At 54.1% G+C, this 18,685-nt stretch overlaps 1 protein-coding gene across 8 annotated transcripts in view, besides 4 other annotated features; it reads left to right on the top strand.

Moving 5' to 3' along the window:
- The window catches only part of MYH7B (myosin heavy chain 7B), a 46,570-nt gene that overhangs the window by 12,539 nt on the left and 15,346 nt on the right, over positions 1 to 18,685 (top strand). The window contains exons 3-15 of one of the 8 annotated variants that reach the window (NM_020884.7): positions 6,994 to 7,093; positions 9,226 to 9,274; positions 9,528 to 9,690; positions 10,984 to 11,090; positions 11,255 to 11,398; positions 12,172 to 12,328; positions 12,627 to 12,654; positions 14,053 to 14,149; positions 16,286 to 16,309; positions 16,448 to 16,540; positions 16,660 to 16,723; positions 17,694 to 17,792; positions 18,480 to 18,583. In NM_020884.7, the coding sequence (NP_065935.4) occupies positions 9,600 to 9,690; positions 10,984 to 11,090; positions 11,255 to 11,398; positions 12,172 to 12,328; positions 12,627 to 12,654; positions 14,053 to 14,149; positions 16,286 to 16,309; positions 16,448 to 16,540; positions 16,660 to 16,723; positions 17,694 to 17,792; positions 18,480 to 18,583 (1,008 nt within the window). In that variant the 5' untranslated portion in view covers positions 6,994 to 7,093; positions 9,226 to 9,274; positions 9,528 to 9,599. Of the gene's footprint in view, positions 1 to 6,993; positions 7,094 to 9,225; positions 9,275 to 9,527; positions 9,691 to 10,983; positions 11,091 to 11,254; positions 11,399 to 12,171; positions 12,390 to 12,626; positions 12,655 to 14,052; positions 14,150 to 14,912; positions 16,130 to 16,285; positions 16,310 to 16,447; positions 16,541 to 16,659; positions 16,724 to 17,693; positions 17,793 to 18,479; positions 18,584 to 18,685 lie in introns of those variants that run through there. The other 7 variants (XM_047440337.1, XM_006723840.4, XM_047440336.1 and 4 more) reach the window with 7 other exon arrangements.
- Positions 11,792 to 12,343: an enhancer, noted in NCBI's record as "H3K27ac-H3K4me1 hESC enhancer chr20:33568001-33568552 (GRCh37/hg19 assembly coordinates)". NCBI's record gives its function as "activates a minimal SCP1, AML or CMV promoter by ChIP-STARR-seq in naive H9 embryonic stem cells {active_cell/tissue: H9 hESC(naive)}" and the evidence as "EXISTENCE:reporter gene assay evidence [ECO:0000049][PMID:30033119]".
- Positions 15,652 to 16,203: an enhancer, noted in NCBI's record as "OCT4-NANOG-H3K27ac-H3K4me1 hESC enhancer chr20:33571861-33572412 (GRCh37/hg19 assembly coordinates)". NCBI's record gives its function as "activates a minimal SCP1, AML or CMV promoter by ChIP-STARR-seq in primed H9 embryonic stem cells {active_cell/tissue: H9 hESC(primed)}" and the evidence as "EXISTENCE:reporter gene assay evidence [ECO:0000049][PMID:30033119]".
- Positions 17,306 to 17,857: an enhancer, noted in NCBI's record as "H3K27ac-H3K4me1 hESC enhancer chr20:33573515-33574066 (GRCh37/hg19 assembly coordinates)". NCBI's record gives its function as "activates a minimal SCP1, AML or CMV promoter by ChIP-STARR-seq in naive H9 embryonic stem cells {active_cell/tissue: H9 hESC(naive)}" and the evidence as "EXISTENCE:reporter gene assay evidence [ECO:0000049][PMID:30033119]".
- Positions 17,858 to 18,409: an enhancer, noted in NCBI's record as "H3K4me1 hESC enhancer chr20:33574067-33574618 (GRCh37/hg19 assembly coordinates)". NCBI's record gives its function as "activates a minimal SCP1, AML or CMV promoter by ChIP-STARR-seq in naive H9 embryonic stem cells {active_cell/tissue: H9 hESC(naive)}" and the evidence as "EXISTENCE:reporter gene assay evidence [ECO:0000049][PMID:30033119]".

Here is an 18,685-nt window from a genome sequence, read left to right on the forward strand (position 1 = left end):
GGTTATGCCTGTTTTATGATGGAAATTGAAGCTCCGTGAGGAAGAGGGACCTATTCAAGGTCACATAGTGAGTTGGAAAGTCTGACCTCCTCTTGTTGGCTTCTTCCATCCTCCAGGCTGGCCTCCCAGGCCCCTCCCTGCTCGTGGTCTGTACACCCCTTCTCCCTTACACTCGGCTAAGCCTTGTCCATGGCCCCTGCCCCTTTCATGTCTATTCTTAGCATAGTTTGGAGCCTGCGGTTGGGCCACATTATCTGGATGGTGACCCCTGGGGGTACATCTTCTACCCCAGTGTGTCCTTTAGCCCTTCCTGTCTCTTCCAGCTGTGCAGCAAGGGGCGTGTTAGAGGGGCCCACTACCCAGGCCCTTACACTGCGGCAGCCTACCTAAGTATGCACAGCGCACGTAGCGTAGAGGATGGAGCCCGCAGGACACCCTTAATGCCCTTACCTGGCAGGGAGGCCAGCACACAAGGGGCTGGGGGCGGGACTGGGCTTCTTGGGGTTGAGTGGTTCTGGAAGCCGATATGAGCAGCAGCAACTGCTGGCATTATCTAGGCTCTAAGAATAGCTTGGGATGAAGAGTCAGAGGTTGAGGCCAGGGAAGAGGACAGGAGCCTGTTCCTACTGCCCCCTCCTGCTGCTTGGCCTGGAAGCTGGGAAGCCTGCCTCCTGGCTCACCATTTGCTCTGGGATGGTTTTGCATAGACACATCTTGTCCACCACTGGACTGGAGGAAAGAGGGTACCCCTGGGACTCAGACCTAGGCTGCTTGACCTCAGGCTGAAGGCAGTGGGCCCACTCTCTGAGGACCAGCCCTCACCCAGGCCCCTCACCACTGGCACAGAGTAGGGGTTTGTATTTTTCAAGGATCATGCTGGAAGTGACCCTTATTCATTTAGCAAACACTTTAAAAATAGGTTATACATACACGATTTAAAGTTCAAAGGGTTTACAAGGGAAAAAAAATCACTCTGCCTCCCTTCCCTGGCCCCCAGCTACCAAACACTGTTACCAGCTTTCTTGGGTGACTTCCAAAGGCAGTCCATCCATAGATAAGCACACAGATGCACAAATGTCTCTCTCCCCCGATTTTTACGCAGGAGATGGCATAGCCCATACATTCTTCTGCTCCTTTTTTTTTTTTTTTTTTTTTTGAGATGGAGTCTAGCTCTGTCGCCCAGGCTGGAGTGCAGTGGCACGATCCCGGCTCACTGCAACCTCCGTCTCCTGGGCTCAAGCAGTCCTCCTGCCTCAGCCTCCCGAGTAGCTGGATTACAGGCACCTGCCACCATGCCCAGCTAGTTTTTTGTATTTTTAGTAGAGACAGGGTTTCACCACGTTGGCCAGACTGGTCTTAAACTCCTGACCTCAGGGGATCTGCCTGCCTCGGCCTCCCAAAGTGCTGGGATTACAGGTGTGAGCCACCGTACCCGGCCACAACTTTTTTTTTTTTGTAACCTAATGATCTATCTTGGAAATAACAGCAATGACATATTGAGTCTCCACTAGTGTCAGGTACTATTCTAAGCATTTTAGATGGTTTAACTCATATAATGCTCATCACAGCACTAGGAGGTAGGTCCTGTTTGTGAATCTCCACCATTAAGAGGTTTAGTCATTCTCCAAGACTTCGTGCCTGGTAACTGGCAGAGCCAGGACTAAAACCCAGGCAGCCTCACTTTAGATGAGGTGCTCCTTCCTCACTGCTCTGTGCTGCCTCCCAAGCTTGAGACATGTTGAGACTCACATCATGCCCTCCCTCTTCCTAAGGGCCAAGGTAAGCCATGTACGGTGAACACTTACCACGTACCAGGCTGAGGCTGGGCTACTGCAGTGTAAGGGAGACCAGGCCTCTGTCCTCATGGAACTGTCATCCCAGTGCCCATGAGTGTCTGCCAGCCAAGGCAGGAGGAGGGAAACCCACTTGTCTCATACCCATGTGCCCTTGTATAGGTCTGCTGTTCAGACACACCCTGGTCCCATGTCCACTAGTCCTGTAGTCACACCGCCTCTGAGCTGGAAGGCCTTAGAGCCCAGAGTTACAGATGGGAACATAGGGGCCCAAACAGAGGTGGACACGAGAGATCATCAGGTGGCCCTGGTGAGACTCATCCCCTGCCTCCCGGGATCTATTTCAGCAGGGTGGGTGGGGGGTGACTTTAATCCAGGGCCCAACCATTGTTTGAAGTTGGAAACAATTGAAGGACAAGGGAGCTATAGATAGATCCACAGCTGCTGTCACTTGTCCCAGCCTGGGCACTGGGCCTGAGCATTGTCTACAGAGGGGCACTCTAAGCAGTGAGGCCCACTCCTGGGGGTAGGAGGTTGGCCCAGCCCAGCTCAGCTCAGCTCGGCTCTAGAGATAAAGAGTCAGAGGCCAAGACAGAAATACAGAGTCTTGGAAGGCAGAGAGTGGGACAGGACAACATCGAAAGAACAAGACCCTTGAGAGATACGATGGACTCCCATCAAATATCGACAATACTCAGACTGGCTGGGGGTGGGAGGGCAGACGCAGGGCCTGAGCCACAGGTTGAACTCAAGGATGCGGCATGTCAGAGACCTGGACCAGAGTGGGTGCTGGGGTCTGGAGCACCTCAGCCCAGCTCAGGTCTTTCTGTCCATCCCTCCAGAACAGCTGTTCATGTTAATCACTCTTGGGGGCAGCCAGTCTGAGGTACCCTTGTGTGTGCTCGGGGAGGCCTCAAGGTCTTCCGAAGTGAGAGGTTGTGCTGTCAGGCCTGGTCATGGCTTGAATTCACTGTATGACATCAAGCAAGGACCTGCCTCTCTCTTTGCGGCTCAGTTTCCCCAGCTGTCCAATGAGAGAGCTGGTTGGCATGATGGCTGAAGGGCCCCTTCATCCTCCAATGATGTCAGGAGATTTCCTTTTATGTGTCTAACTCCCTCCTCTTGCTGTGGCTGAGGTCGCAGTCCCCTCCTTTCTTTGTCCTTTGTGAAGATGGGGGACAGCTGGTTCCCCACCCCCTCCCCCCAGTAACCTTTCAGCCATAAATCCATGCTGAGGCATCTCTCCTCTGGATAAACAGCCCTGATGCCTTTTGGCTGCCCTCGTCCTATTTTTTGCTTCAAGCCTCAGAGCTGGGGCCCACTTGGGCCCTCTGCAGCTGCCCAGGGCCCCAGGAGGGGTACAAACCTGGGACAAGCAGGGGCCCAACCACCCCCAGTGTGCCAGGGTCGTGGGCCCCTTTCTGGGCCTCACCACCTTGCACTGGGACCATTATGGCAGCCTCCTCCTGAGTCCTTCTTCCTGCCACCGGCCTCACCCCTTCAGTGCATCCTCCACACCAGCTGCCACAGGGAGCTTAGGAACACATAAATCTGACCACACTGTCAAATTCCGTCGCTCAGAGCTCTTTGATGCAAAAAATAAATAAATAAAAATGCCTTTGATGGCGCCCCAACTCCTGCAGGATAAAGCTCCAGATCTGAATCTGGCCTTTGAAGCCCTTCACAGTCCAGCCCACTACCCAGTCCTGCCCCACTCCCCTTTATGCCCCTGGTGGCCCAGCTGCAGCTGGTGGGGCTGCTTGGGCCCATCTTCACCCCCTACCCTGCCTTGGAGTTCTAGGTCATGCTGTCCATTTCCTGTCCCCTCTTGCCACCTCCATGCCAGACCCATCCGCTCTCACCCGGGTGACAGCAGCAGCTCGCCCCGCTGCCTCCCCTGCCCCTTCCAAGCCGTTCAAGTGGTCACTATGAAACTTCAGCTCACTCACATTTCTGCTCTCACAGGCTCCCTTTGCACTTGCAATACAACCCTGGGTCCCTTCCAAGTCCTTCAAGGCTCTGAATGATCTGCCTGTCCACCCTCACCTTGGAAAACTCTCCCCTTGTTGACCACTAGGACGGCACCTTAAACATCCCAAGCTGTTTTCTGCCTCATGGCTATTGTATTTGCTGTTCCTTCTGCTTGGAATACTGTTCCAAGGGCTTCCCGCCTCACCGGCTTCTTGGCACTCTCTGGTCTCACCTTCAGTATCGCCTCTTCAGAGAGGCCCTCCCTCACCCACCAGAACGAAGTACACGTACCCCATTACCCTCCAGGCCATACTTCTTGTTTCATGCTTACCACTTGCCACAATCTTTAATTACCTTAAAAATGTGTTTGCTTGTTTATTTTTTGCTTCTCCAGGGGAGTGTCAGCTCTATGAGGGAAGGAACCTTGTTGCCATACCCCTCTTCCTGGCAGTCTGGGTGTCACACTTGTTTGTTTTGAGTCAGGGTCTTGTTCCTGTTGCCCACGCTGGAGTGCAGTGGCATGATCTCAGCTCACTGCAGTCTTGAACTCCTGGGATCAAGCAATCCTCTCGCCTCTCAGCCTCCTGAGTAGCTGAGATTGTAGGCGTGTACCATCATGCCCAGCCAATTTTTAAATTTTTTGTCGAGACAGGGTCTTGCTATATCAGCCTAGGCTGGTCTTGAACTCCTTGGCTCAAGTGATCCTCCTGCCTCAAGCCTTCCAAGTTACTGGGATTATCATAGGTGTGAGCCATCATGCCTGGTTAATTTTAAAAATATTTTTTTGTAGAGATGTCACAGGGAGCTTACAAACACATAAATCTGAACACACTGTCAAATTCTCTTGCTCAGAGCTCTTTGATGCAAAAAATAAATAAATAAAAATGCCTTTGATGGCGCCCCAACTCCTGCAGGATAAAGTTCCAGATCTGAATCTGGCCTTTGAAGCCCTTCACACTCCAGTCCCAACTGCTCAGTCCTGCCCCGCTCCCCTTTATGCCCCAGTGGCCCAGCTGGTCTCAAACTCCTGGCCTCAAGTGATTCTCCCACCTTGGCCTCCAAAAGTGCAGGGATTATGGGCATAAGCCACTGCGCCCAGCCTTCAAACTAGCTTTTATCCTTCAGACTCCTCCGTGTTGATGTCTTCCTTGAGTATCTTTCCTTTCCTAGACAATGAGTGTCTTTTGTTCCATGTGTCCCTCCCAGCTGTAGAAGCATTATTCACAGAGTCCTTCGATGTCTTTACCCAAAGAAGAAATTCCAGGCATTGGGTTACATTGAGGGCAGATACATTTTGGGCTGGGATCTAAAATCCTGGAGTCTCGCTCTCCTGAAATCGGAACGAACTTCAAAGGTCATCCAGTTCAGAGGCCTCAGCCCTGGTCGACCTCTGCCTGAGTCTTCCTTGGTGCTGGCAGGCTCACTTTCCTCCAAGGCAGCCTCTCCCGCTGCTGATGGGCTGAGATGGTGAAAAGTCCCCTTTTGCATGCATCCGCATCCTGCTTCCTGTCGCTGCCCATGGATCTACTTTTGAGGCTACACAAGTCACATCAGCTCCCTCTGCTCCAGGACAGCTCTTCAAGTTTTTTTGATTTTTTGTTTTTTGAGAGGGAGTCTTGCTCTGTTGCCCAGGCTGGAGTGCAGTGGCACGATTTCAGCTCACTGCCACTTCCAGCTCTCAGGTTCAAGTGATCCTCCTGCTTCAGCCTCCCCAAGTAGGTGGGATTACAGGCACACGCCACCATGCCTGGCTAATTTTTTTTTTTTTTTTTGAGACGGAGTCTTGTTCTGTTGCCCAGGCTGGAGTGCAGTGGTGCGATCTCGGCTCACTGCAACCTCCGCCTCCCAGGTTCAAGTGATTCTCCTGCCTCAGCCTCCCGAGTAGCTGGGATTACAGGCGCCTGCCACCATGCCTGGCTAATTTTTTTGTATTTTTAGTAGAGACAGGGTTTCACCATGTTGACCAGGCTGGTCTCAAACTCCTGACCTCAGGTAATCCACCCGCCTTGGCTTCCCAAAGTGTTGGGATGACAGGCATGAGCCACCATGCCCAGCCTTTTTTTTTTTTTTTTTTTTTTAAGTAGAAACGGGGTTTCATCATGTTGGCCAGGCTGGTCTCAAACTCATGAGCTCAAATGATCCACCTGCCTCAGCCTCCGAAAGTGCTGGGATTACAAGCTCTTCAGGTATTGAAAGTCAGTATCTTACTTAAGTCCTTGCAGGTTATAGTATTTGTTGCAAATCACTCAGAGCATTGGGTTTCCTCTTTGCGTTGTCATGTTTGTTTGTGAGCTTATCTCAGCAGGAAGATGCACCCTGGGTGGTGGAAGGGAACCTACGAGGAAGATCTAGACCCATTTTGAGGCTTGGTTTCTCAGCCCCAGGTTCATACACTGAGTAGGTAACTCTAGGACTCAGACCCACATGATAGGTGTAAGTTAGACTTGCTAGAGGTTCTGATTCTCCAGGCTAATTCTGTTGGTCCCTGACAAGAAACCCTACCTTCTGAGCATCCTTGAACAATGAAAAGAATTTTTCCCACTTTCTGGGCTTTCTATAAATTGCTCCAGCCCAGCTCTCCAGCCTCTGATGCCATAGGAGATTAAAATCCTATTATCTATCAGGTTTGGTTCGTTCACTTACTAGGTATTTATTGACTTTCTATGATGTGCAGGCACTTGGCAAGGTGCCGGGGACACAGACCAAGCTCCTGCCCTTGTGCAGGTCTTTTCTAGTGGCAGGAGGTAGGCAAGGTACAATCTAAGCTCTACAAAGAGAATTGAAACAGTGAGGTTCTCACAGAGACAATGCGGAGAGAAAGAAGAAAGGAATACATAATGTAGGATTCCATTCAAACAAATTCTGAAAATAGACAACACTAATCTCTGAGGTTAGAAGTCAGTATTATATTGTGGATCAAGCAAGAGTCGGTATAAAAAAAATAAAAATAAAAAAGAAGTCAGTATTCTATTATCCTAGGTGAGGGATGGCCCGAAGGGGATAATTTTTCATAATTTCTGTTTTTGTACAGGGTACGGTTTTGTTTTGTTGTTGCTTTTGAGACTGGGTCTGTTGCCCAGCTGGAGTGCAATGGTGTGATCTCGGCGCACTGTAACCTCTGCCTCCTGGGTTCAAGCGGTCCTCCCACCTCAGCCTCCTGAGTAGCTGAGACTACAGGTGCATGCCACCATGCCTGGCTAATTTTTGTTTGTTTGTTTGTTTGTTGTAGAGATGGGGTTTTGATGTGTTGCCCAGGCTGGTCTTGAACTCCTGAGCTTAAGTGATGTGTCCGCCTGGGCCTCCCAAAGTGCTGGAATTACAGACATGAGGTACTGTGCCTGACCCAGGGTATGTTTACTTTGAGAAAATTCATCAAACTTTATAAGATCATTCACTGCAGCCTTGACTGTAATGGCAAAAGACTGAAAACAATCGAAATGTCTACCGAGAGGGGACCCGCGTCATTTCCTAATGGAGACACACTGTAGGACTAATTCCTAATAGGGTCTGGGCGGCTGTAATTTTGATAAATATCGCCAAGTTTGGCACTGTAATTTTTTTTTGAGACGGAGTCTCGTACTGTCGCCCAGGCTGGAGTGCAGTGGTGCCATCTCCACTCACTGCAAGCTCTGCCTCCCGGGTTCACGCCATTCTCCTGCCTCAGCCTCCAGAGTAGCTGGGACTACAGGCGCCCGCCACCACCTCTGGCTAATTTTTTTGTATTTTTACTAGAGACGGGGTTTCACTGTGTTAGCCAGGATGGTCTCGATCTCCTGACCTCGTGATCCGCCCTCCTCGGCCTCCCAAAGTGCTGGGATTACAGGCGTGAGCCACTGCGCTTGGCCGGCACTGTAATTTTAAATGTGTTCATGTAATATGCACACAGTAAAGTGCATACATCTTAGATGTACAGCTTGATTTGTTTTGCAAAGTGCACGCACCTGTGTCTCATGGCTCTACTCAGCGTATAGAGCATTTCCTGCCTCCCAGAGGCTCTCTGGTGCCTCCAGCCATTACCCTCCCTCAGAGGACCACTCTGCCACTTCTGTCACCATAGGCGAGTTTTGCCTGTTTTGAATGTAGATGGTTGAAAATGTAGCTGGGAAATTATTTCTCTATATTTCGTCTAGCACACCTGTGCATTTGGAATGGGAGCGCATCGGTCGGAGGACTTCCCGTGTGAGCCTGGTCTGGCCTCTGGCTGGAACCCTGGATCTGGAACTCCATTGTTCCATGTGTCTGGCGTCTGAGGTTCTCAGATCCTTTCATTCTCGATTCTAAAATCCTGTGGCGTCACGGAGCCCTGAATGGGGTGATGGACAGGAGAGCCTGGAGGTGCCCTGACACATTCCAAAGACTGTATCAGGCAGATGGACTGCCAGCGCCCTGAACCTCTGTCGAGAGTGGGCCACGGGAAGGTGGCTTCCTGTGAATCTTCAATGTGGGGATCTGAAGGGGCTCCTAACTGGGTTACATTTCCTTGATTTGCTTCCATTTCAGCCAAACAATTCCTTGATTCTATAAGTTCCAGGGCTGGTTTTCTTCATGTATGATTTCCCCAGGGGGTCCCCAGAAAGAGGATGGGGAGGGAGGAAGAGGGAAAGAGGGCATCGATGTGCTCCCACTTCCAAATGCACAAGTGTGCCAGATAAAATATAGAGAAATAAGTGCAAAGCTACATTTTCAGCCATATACATTCAAAACAGGCAAATCTCGCCTATGGTGATAGAAGTGGCAGAGTGGACCTCTGAGGTAGGGTACAGAGTGGAGGCACCAGAGAGCCTCTGGGAGGCAGGCGATGCCCTATACCCTGAGTAGAGCCGAGGGGACACAGGTGTTTGCGCTTTGCAGATGTCTGAGAAGGATGTCCCTCTCCCCCTACCCCTCCCCCCTCTCTCTCTCCCTCTCACTCCTTCTCTTTTTGATCTGTTCTTCTCCTTCTCTCTCCTTCTCTTTTTGATCTGTTCTTCTCCTTCTCTCTCCTTCTCTTTTTGATCTGTTCTTGGCCATTGCTCGTCTGTGAGACTTGGCCAATGCTTTCCTTTCTCTGGGCCTCAGTTTCCCTGGATGTATCAAGAGGGTTGGACTAGCTGGTCCAATCTCAGTAGGCATTCTGTGGTTTCCCCTCTGAGTGTCCTTGCTCTCTGTATCTGGAGGTGGGGTATTTTTCTGGGTGTGTCAGACTCTGCGTGACTTGGTTTCTCCCCGTGAGCTCTTCAGTCTCCTGAACCTCTTACTGCCTTGTCCCTGTCCCCGTCAGTCTCTGCACCCAGCCTCCCTGTCTCTCAGTGGAGTGTCTCTCTCCGCCTTTGTGATCCCCTGACAATGGGAGGTAAAAATAGCCCAGGGGCCGTGCTGGTGGAGATAAAAGGGAATTTGCCTTTTGTGTCCTGTGGCCAGGCTGGGGGGGCTGTGACACGTGGAGATTGCTGACATAGCTCTCCTCCTCTGACCTTGACAGTGGCAATAAAAGGGGTAGCAGAGCTTCCTGCCCTCACCGTGGTGCCGAGGTAGGTGATCAGGGCTGGGGTTGGAGCCGAAGGGAGGGCAGGAGGGTGGGCGGGTGGGTGAGGGTGCCCATGGGTGGCCGCGAGTCTTCTGAATCTGGAGTGGAGGAAGCCCTGGTGTTTGAGGGTGTGCATGTATGCTGGGCACTCACCCAAGGAGGCTGCATTGGGAGCCAGAGGGAGTCGCCTAGTATCTGGTCTTGTGGGTTGGGGGATCGTGCCCTAGTTCAGCTCCCTTGTCACTGCCATCTTCCAGTGCCTGCTGCCTTGGGCCGCCTTGAACCTCCAGGGTTTCCAGCTCCTCCTCCTTCACCCCAGTGCCACTGCCATGATGGATGTGAGTGAACTTGGGGAGTCTGCCCGCTACCTCCGCCAGGGCTACCAGGAGATGACGAAGGTGCACACTATCCCATGGGACGGTAAGTGGAGACAGAGGGGGAGGGGTCATAGCCACAGAGATGCCCTTATGGACTCAGACCAGGAATTGGGAGGGGTGGCACCAGCTCAGGGCTGAAGGGGCATTGGGGCCTGACAGCTGGAGCCCTGGACCTTTCCTGCAGAGTCTGGGGCCTGGAAATTAAAACCCCAGGGACACTGTATATCACTGTGTGTCTGTGAGCAAGCCTTGGTTTGTTCCCCTGTGAAATGGGATAATAGCACCTGCCTTCCGGAGCTGCAGTTTATGAAGACTCAGGCTGGAGCCCGAGGCCTCTGAGATGAGACTGATCGGCATGTGTGCAGGCTGCCTCCGCGTGTCCACAAAACTTGTGCTGGGGTTATTTTTAGTGGTTTCTGCAGAGCCAAAGCCACCCTTTATTAGGGACAGGAATAAAGGCTGTACTATTTATGACCTGGTTTGCTCATAGGACAATACTAACAATAGGCAGTGTGTACCGAATGCTTATTGTGTGTCAGGCCCAGAGCAGATGACTTTCCATGCATCATCTCAACAACCTGGGGAGGTGGGGCCAGCACCAGACCTAGCTTCACAGGGCGCCAGGCTAAGAGGGACCTTGTGTTTGATTCGACACTCTGCTGTTGCCGTCTTGAAAGTTTTAATTGTTTTCAACAAGGGGACCCACATCGTCATTTTGTACTGGGGTCTGTAGGTTATGTAGATGGTCCTAGATGGTTCTAGATGGTCCTGACCCAGGCACTTGGCAGAGCAGGGGACACAAACTCCGGTTTGCAGCCTGAGTCCATGCTTCTAACCACCATGAAATCTGGGCTCCTCAAAGCTCTGGGGACAGCTGGCCAGGCAGGAGAGCACAGGTTACAGTTAGGAGGCCTGGGTTTGAGTCTTCAGTGAAATAGGGAAGGCAGGACCCCTCCCTAAGAGTCATATGCCTGATATTGAGGGGCTGCTCTGTATGGGACCTAAGGAGATCTCCATAACATTTTGCATGTGAGGGAACTGGCCCAGAGAGAATCAGGGATTTTCCTGAGGTCAGAGGGCAAATATGGCGGAAGCAGGAATTGGAACCCAACCATTAACCCAGACTCATCCTCCAATAAGGGGATCTCTAGGGACCCTCCCAGCTCCGCCCTTCCTGAGCCTGGGTTTGGAGGGTTCTTCACTGGAACTCCTGGGTCCTGGCAGAGGGGCTTTGGGGAGGGTCACAGCTGTATGGATACCATGGCTTGGGAACTCCAGCTAGAACCTGGAGGTGCCTCAGCCCCTCTCTGAGTCCAGAGCTCTCTCTGCAACCCAGGGAAGAAGCGAGTCTGGGTGCCTGATGAACAGGACGCCTACGTGGAGGCCGAGGTCAAGTCGGAGGCTACCGGGGGCAGAGTCACCGTGGAGACCAAAGACCAGAAGGTTCCGTTCCCCCTTTCCTGAGATTAGCCTCTCTGTCCCTAGGCCTCCTGGCCAACAGGATCTGCCCTCTGGTTGAAGGGGGTCTGGGTATGTGGGTGGGGGTGACAGGTGAGGTCGGTCGGTTCCTCCCGGTCCCCCGGCCCCTGACACGATCTCCCTGGTAGGTGCTGATGGTGCGTGAAGCCGAGCTGCAGCCCATGAACCCGCCTCGCTTCGACTTACTGGAGGACATGGCCATGATGACGCACCTGAACGAGGCCTCTGTGCTGCACAACCTGCGCCAGCGCTATGCCCGCTGGATGATCTATGTGAGCCCCAGGCCCGGGCCATGGGCGGGGTGGGGCTTGTATGTGGGGCGGGGCTAGAGATGAGGTGCTGGGGGCGGGCCCATAGCGGTGGGGCGGGGCTGTGAGCGGTGGATCGGGGCTGTGAATGATAGAGCGGGTCCATAGCGGGGGTGGGGCTGTGAGCGATGAGGCGGGGCTCTGAGCAGTGGGGGCGGGGCTGGAGGTTGGGCCTTGGGACCTTAGGGGAGCAGCTGTAGCAGTGCGGGGCGGGTCTAGAACTCACCTGCGGACTATGGAGGCCGTGCGTGTGGGCTGGGGCAGGGCTGTGAGCACAAGTCAGGGGTGAGGCCAGGACGGCCACAGAGGGTGTGGTGTGGCAAGTCAAGTAGCTCCTTGAGGAATATCGCAGGGTTCTTCTGAAGACTGGGGCCTGGGGCCTGGGGATGGGAACTTGCGTATCCCTCCCAAAACCCTACCTATGGGGGGAGAATGTGGTGGCCCATGCCTGTAATCCCAGCACTTTGGGAGGGCAAGGCGGGCGGATCACCTGACGTCAGAAGTTCGAGACCAGCCTGGCCAACATGGTGAAACCCCGTCTGTACTAAAAATACAAAAATTAGCCGGTCGTGGTGGCACGCGCTTGTAGTCCTAGCTACCCTGGGAGGCTGAGGCAGGACCCAGGAGGCGGAGGTTGCGGTGAGCCGAGATCATGCCGTTGTACTCCAGCCTGGGAGACAGAGCAAGACTCCATCTCAAAAACAACAACATAAACCCTACCTATACTCTCTCTTCAGACCTACTCAGGCCTCTTCTGTGTCACCATCAACCCCTACAAATGGCTCCCAGTCTATACGGCCTCCGTAGTGGCTGCTTACAAGGGAAAGCGCCGCTCAGATTCCCCGCCCCATATATATGCGGTGGCGGACAACGCCTACAACGACATGCTGCGCAGTAAGGGCCGCCTGGACTCCTCCCCAACCGCAGACCCCGACCTCGGTCCCGGGAGGCCTCTGTAAGGGACCCCCTTCCCCCACTGGCACTGCCCCCCTTTTGACGCTGCTGGACATGGTCGCCCAGCCGTTCTGTCCCTCCGCATGGGAGCTGACCTCCACTAGGGACAGCCCCACCTGCTCCTTCCCATTCCTGGCTCTGGGTGGTGGGGTCTGCCCCAGATGGATACCCAGGGTGTTCCACCTGTGGCTGGCCCCACACCTTGGCTGACTTCTCTATCCCCTTCCCTTTCCTCCAGACCGAGACAACCAGTCCATGCTGATCACGTGAGTGTGGGGCTCTGGGGGTGGGGTGGAAAATGCTGGCCATCTGGCAGAAAGAGGGCGGTACCACAGTCATTTCCCAGGATTGAATCCAAAGTGCTTAGGCCAGGACTTTTACCACCTGGAGCTAGTGTCCCAGCTGAAGCTAAATTAGGCCTGAGCACTTTCCCTGCCCCCATTCTGAACAGATGTGTTCTTGATGGGGGATAGGGAGGGGACACCCACAAACGGAGTGACCACCAGCCCCACACCTCCTCTCCCCGGGGCCTGGAATCTCCCACCTTGATCCTCTGGGGTTCTAATTCTGGCTCAGGGGCAGCGGAAAGATTCCTCTGCTTTTCCTCCTTTTTACCATCTACTTATGTCTGAATCTTACCTCTGATCTTTCCATTGCCTCTGTGGGAAAATGGTAGAATAATTCTTACATGCCAGGCTCATGTCCAGTCAGGCCAATATGGACAATGTTTAGTGTGAGTGTGCATGCGCGTATGCAGTTAAGAGCAAGTGCCTTGGCCGGGCACAGTGGCTCATGCCCGTAATTTCTGCACTTTGGGAGGCTGAGGTGGGTGGATCACTTGACGTCAGGAGTTCGAGACCAGCCTGGCCAACATGGTGAAACCCCATCTCTACTAAAAATACAAAAAATTAGCTGGGCGTGGTGGCAGGTGCCTGTAATCCCAGCTACTCAGGAGGCTGAGGCAGGAGAATTGCTTGAACCCAGGAGGCGGAGGTTGCCGTGAGCCAAGATCACGCCACTGCACTCCAGCCTGGGCCACAGAATGAGACTCCATCTCACGAAAAAAAAAAAAAAAAAAAAAAAAGCAAGTACCTTTAACCCAGACGGGCCCGGCTGAGTGTGGTGGCTCACACCTGTAATCCCAGCACTTGGGGAGGCTGAGGCAGGAGGATTGCCTGAGGCCAGGGGTTTGAGACCAGCCTGAGCAACATAGCGAGACCCCATCTTTACCAAAAAAAAAAAATTGAAAAGTTAAATAAAAAATCCTACCTACCACACAAAGTTATGAGTCAGTGAGTTGATATATGTGCCTGGCACACAGCAGGGACAGCCACAGAACTCCTGAGGCCCAGTTCCTTGTTCCTAAAATGGGGGTGATAATGGAGCCTGCCTTCCAGGGTTTTCTGAGCTGTAACTGAGCCAATGGAGTAAAGTGCCGGGCACTGAGTTAGTCCGTAGTGGACAATGGCATCATCGTGTGTTGTCATCTCACAGGGATGGTCTACACTGGCTTGCTTTGTACACCTCTGAGGGTTGATCCATCCTTGGGGGTTTCAAGCTGGGGGGAAGGAGAGGTGGAGGGCTCTGCTTGAGGGGTGAGGCATTGGGGGTGGGGGAGAATTAGGCCAGATGGGCATTGGTGACTCATGTTTGTGTCGTCCAAGCGGAGAGTCGGGGGCCGGTAAGACGGTTAACACCAAGCGGGTCATTCAGTACTTTGCCATCGTCGCTGCCCTGGGAGACGGGCCGGGCAAGAAGGCCGTAAGACTTGCCCACTCGGGCATGCTCCCCGTTGCTTCTCGCTGTTTTTCTTTTCTTTCTTCCTCTCTTTTTTTTTTTTCCCCCTTTTTAAAAATTTTACTCCCCAGAACCCTGAGCCCTGCCTGAGCCTCCCACCCTGGTGGGGGACTCTGGCCTGAGCAAGGCTTGACCACAAAGGCTGTGGCCACCTGACGCGCCTGCCTTCGCCTTCCCATTGGTAAACATGGAGGGGTGGGGCCACGTTGCCGTTTCTAAATTTGTGTAATTTTTATCTTCCATTGTGACCTTCATATATTGAAAGAGTTTACTAGATGGGCTGCTTTTACTAAGCGTTGTTGTCTTGGTTTCCCTGACAGTTACCTGCTGCTGACACATTAGACACAGAGGTTGGCTGGCATGCAGGGCACTGGGCATTCCCAGCAGCCGGGGTTGGCAGGGCAATTTTGTGCCTTGTGATTTCTGTACAGTTTTTGGAAATTTCTGAAACAATGGGGCCAAGTTTTTTTGTTTTTGTTTTTAAGGCATAACATTTCATCCCTAGCCTTGGGGCCAGTTGTTCAGAGCCCTGTGGCTACCCCTAGATGGGCTGCCTTTTTCCAGAAGCCCGAGGCCTCCCTCCCCACCCAGTCCCTGCTCCTGGTCCTGTTAAGCCTTGCTTTATTCTGGGTGTTTTTCTTGTTTTTCCCCTGTTTTCTTTCTTTCTTTCTTTTCTCTTTCTTTTTTCTTTCTTTTCTTTTCTTTTCTTTTTTTTTTTTTTTTTTTGCCTTTTCCTTTTTACCCATTTGATTGTCTTGATTTTTGATTTTCATTTCAGTTTTGTTTTGTTTTGTTTTTGCTGTTGACTTTTTGGTCCTTTTTCCTCCTTCCCTTTCCTGCCCTGTCTTCCAAATCCCTAAAAAGGTCTCTGGGGACGTAACAGAAAGTTGGGTGGGTCAAGTGACAGGAAGAGATGTCAGGGAGAGGCCAGAGCTGGCAGGGACACAGCTGGAAGGGCAGAGGAGCACCTGGGCAGAAAGGAGCTGGGACAGTGGAGCCCAGGGGAGAGGGTCGGGCAAGGGAGGGGTGGGAGAGGCTGCCCGCAGGAGCCATGGCTGCAGGAACTTAAAAGATTGATCAGCTCCCCTTACCTTGGCCCCAAATTTGGCCAAACGGGCTAGAGAGAGCCCTGCACAAAAGCACTGGATGGGAGTGTATTGGGGGGTTCCACCTCCCCTGCCCAATGTCCCTGTGGGTATTTTAACTCTTGGGCTCCCTGGAGGTGAATGAATGACCACAAAGTCCGTGGTGGTATATCTGTTCCCTCCAGAATCCATTCCTTCCCTTCTCTCCCTTTCTTCCTTGGCTCCCAGCATCCGGAGTAGGGAAGAGAAGGAAAGGAAAAGGAAGGGAAAGTGAGGATGAGGCTAGGATGGGGAGAAGGAGGATCTGCTCAATTCACTTAGTCCCCCTGGGTGACACACAGGACCGCTGTGGCGTCCAGGCGGCAGGATGCTGGGCACCTGCCCTGCCGCTCCTGACTTGCTGTGTGGCCTTGAGCAGATCCACTCCCTGCCCAGAGCTAAGTCTCCTCATTTGCAAATTAGGGCTAATAATGGGCACCTGGCAGGGCCTTTGTGCGCACTGGTAGGTATACAGGCAGACAAACAATGAAGACACACCCAGTTGCATTACAAAGGAGAGGTGTGTAAGGTCATAGTGGGAGGTTAGGGCAGGAAGGTTCAGACCAGGAAGAGGTCTATTCCAGCTTTGGAGCAGCCAGGAGGCCTTCCTAGAGGAGGGGGCACTTGGGCTGGGCTCTGGAGGGCCCTAGATTTTAGTCGGGAGGCCCCTGGGGCTTGGAGCAGGGCCACTGCATGGAGACTAGAAAATGAAGGGAGGCCAGAGGCCGGGCTGGGGCAGAGGAGGCTGCAGGTGGAGACTCTGGCTGGGGCTGTGCCACTCCCACTTTCCAGCATTTTGCCTCCTAACAGCTGCAGGAGGGTCAGGCCGAGGGGCTGAGGGTGGGGGCCATGCATTCCGGTGACTAACTCCACCCCCCTGTCCTGCTGCCCGCTGCCTCCCGCTGATACCCTGCCCCACCCCGCCCTTCCCCACCGGAGGCCTGGCCCTCTAATGTTGTCTGTCTTCTTCCCCCAGCAATTTCTGGCAACAAAGACGGGGGTGAGTATGGGGCCAATGTCAATGGGGCAGCCCTGGGGGTACCCCCTTCCTCTGCACAACAGAGGGGCCACGGGTGGCTCTGGCCTCCCGGTGGGTAGGCACCAGAACTGACAGACCCCCTCACCCCCACCGCCCCAGGGCACCCTTGAGGATCAAATCATCGAGGCCAACCCTGCCATGGAGGCCTTTGGCAACGCCAAGACCCTGAGGAATGATAACTCCTCCCGCTTTGTGAGTGGCTGAGGTGGGAGGGGTGGCGGGGATGCCGTAGGCCACCAGCGGCAGGTCGGGCACAGGTGGGGACAGTGCTGGCTGTGCCCCTTGGCTGAGGGCTGCCCCTCTGCCCACAGGGCAAGTTCATCCGCATTCACTTTGGTCCCTCTGGGAAGCTGGCATCCGCGGATATTGACAGCTGTGAGTCAACCCCCTGCGGGCGGTGCAGGGGAAGGAGGCCTGAGCCCGGTCACCCCAACTCGGCCTCTGTCATCACGACTTCTGGGCTCCTGCCTGCTCTGGGCACTTCTCTCTACCCCCTGGCTGCTGCCCAGCTCAGGCCACCTCACCTATCACCAGAACATCACCCCAGCCTCTGCCTGGTCTCCAGCTTCCTCTCCTCTACGCGGCCATAGTTTTGCTGGTCATATCCTGTTCCTGCTTGAAAGCTTTCTCTAGATCCTGTCACCTGAGGATGGAGACCCAAATCCTCATTTGGCCAGTCAGGCTCCTGTGACTGCACCCCTAGCGTGTCCCCAGTCTTCTCTCTGGCCACCAAGAGGGCAGGCCTGGCCCACGGCCCTCCTGCCCCAGCTGCACAGCTACACGTAGAGTGCCCCATCCTTCCAGGCACCCCGCTGGGAAGTGCCCCAGTACCACCAGCTGCATAGACCCCAGGCGCCTAGGCCACACTCAAGGGGGCCAGGGACACAGAGGGGCCCCCACGTTGGCCACTCCCCACATTGGGCTGCATGGCTAGGTCTTGACGGATGAGCGCAGGCAGGCAGTGACGGGGACAGGGATAGGCTGTAATTCACACCCTGACCCCTACACAGACACACACAGACACACACGGAGGCTCGGCCACACACGCACACACGCTGACACACCAACAGATAAAAACCTGCACACGCAGACACCACACTCACCCCACACACACGCAAGGACACACACTGACCCATCTGGCCAGAGACACAGACACACAGGTACAGACACACGGCTCGTGTGATGACGCAGGCACAGGGGAGATACCCTCCCCACACAAGCTGGCAGGTGCAGATGCAGCCCCCCTGCACACTCCCTGCCCACCTCTCTCCCTCCGCATCGCCCCCTTGGGATGTCCACTCTGGGGAGGTGTGGGAGATGGCAGGCCAGCGTCCCTTCTCCCCAGATCTCCTGGAGAAGTCGCGGGTGATCTTCCAGTTGCCTGGTGAGCGCAGCTACCATGTCTACTACCAGATCCTCTCAGGGAGGAAGCCAGAGCTGCAGGGTGAGGGGCAGTACGATGAAGGGGGTGGGAGTCAGAACCTGGAGGGGCTGCCTGGCGCTTCCTGGCCCCCATCAGGCCAGGCCCTGGTGGTCTTTCCCTCCCTGTCCTGGGGTCTGTGGCCTCTCTTCCTTCTTGGGACTTTTGGTTACTTTCCTGCTAGGGAACAGTCCTCTTAGCTCCAGCAACCTGCCAACGTGTTATCGCTGCCTCCAGGAGCCTAAGCCCTAAACCCCACTTGCTGTCCTGAGACTAGAGAGGTCCCACCCAGCACCAAGGCGGACTGATGACTGTCTAGGCCCAGCTCTCCTCTCTGGCAAGCCCGTTGAGGGCAGAGTCTGGTCTTCCCTGTGCGCCAGCATCTAGCATGGGATCTGGGCCAGAGGGGGCCATGAGCAACAGTCAAAAGATGAGTGAGACGTGAGGACTGTGGCTCATTCCTCAGAGAACCAGAAAAAGAAGCCAGGGTCAAAGTGAAGGCCAGGTCAGGGCCCTTCACTCTCAGTGCCCTCAGCCTTGGCAGGAGTGAGGATGAGAAACTTAGGCCCCAGACTGGGAGATGAGGTCCTCTGGGAGGGCCCTAGACTCCTGCTGGGCTTGCCCCCGCAGGACCCCCTATGCTGCAATTGTTGTGGGGAGAATAGCCGGTAAGCACTGCCTGACCCTCCCTTCTCTGCCCTGTGTCCCCAGACATGCTGCTTCTGTCTATGAACCCCTATGACTACCACTTCTGCAGCCAGGGCGTCATCACCGTGGACAACATGAATGATGGGGAGGAGCTCATCGCCACCGACGTATGAGCTCTGGTGGGAGGGGAGCTGTGTGGACGCCTGTGGTGGAATCGGGCAGCACTGCCGGTGCCCCCAGCTGCATGAATGGTCCCGGGGCAGTGCCTG

Source organism: Homo sapiens, chromosome 20 (genome assembly GCF_000001405.40).
Source record: "Homo sapiens chromosome 20, GRCh38.p14 Primary Assembly".
Taxonomy (NCBI): domain Eukaryota; kingdom Metazoa; phylum Chordata; class Mammalia; order Primates; family Hominidae; genus Homo; species Homo sapiens.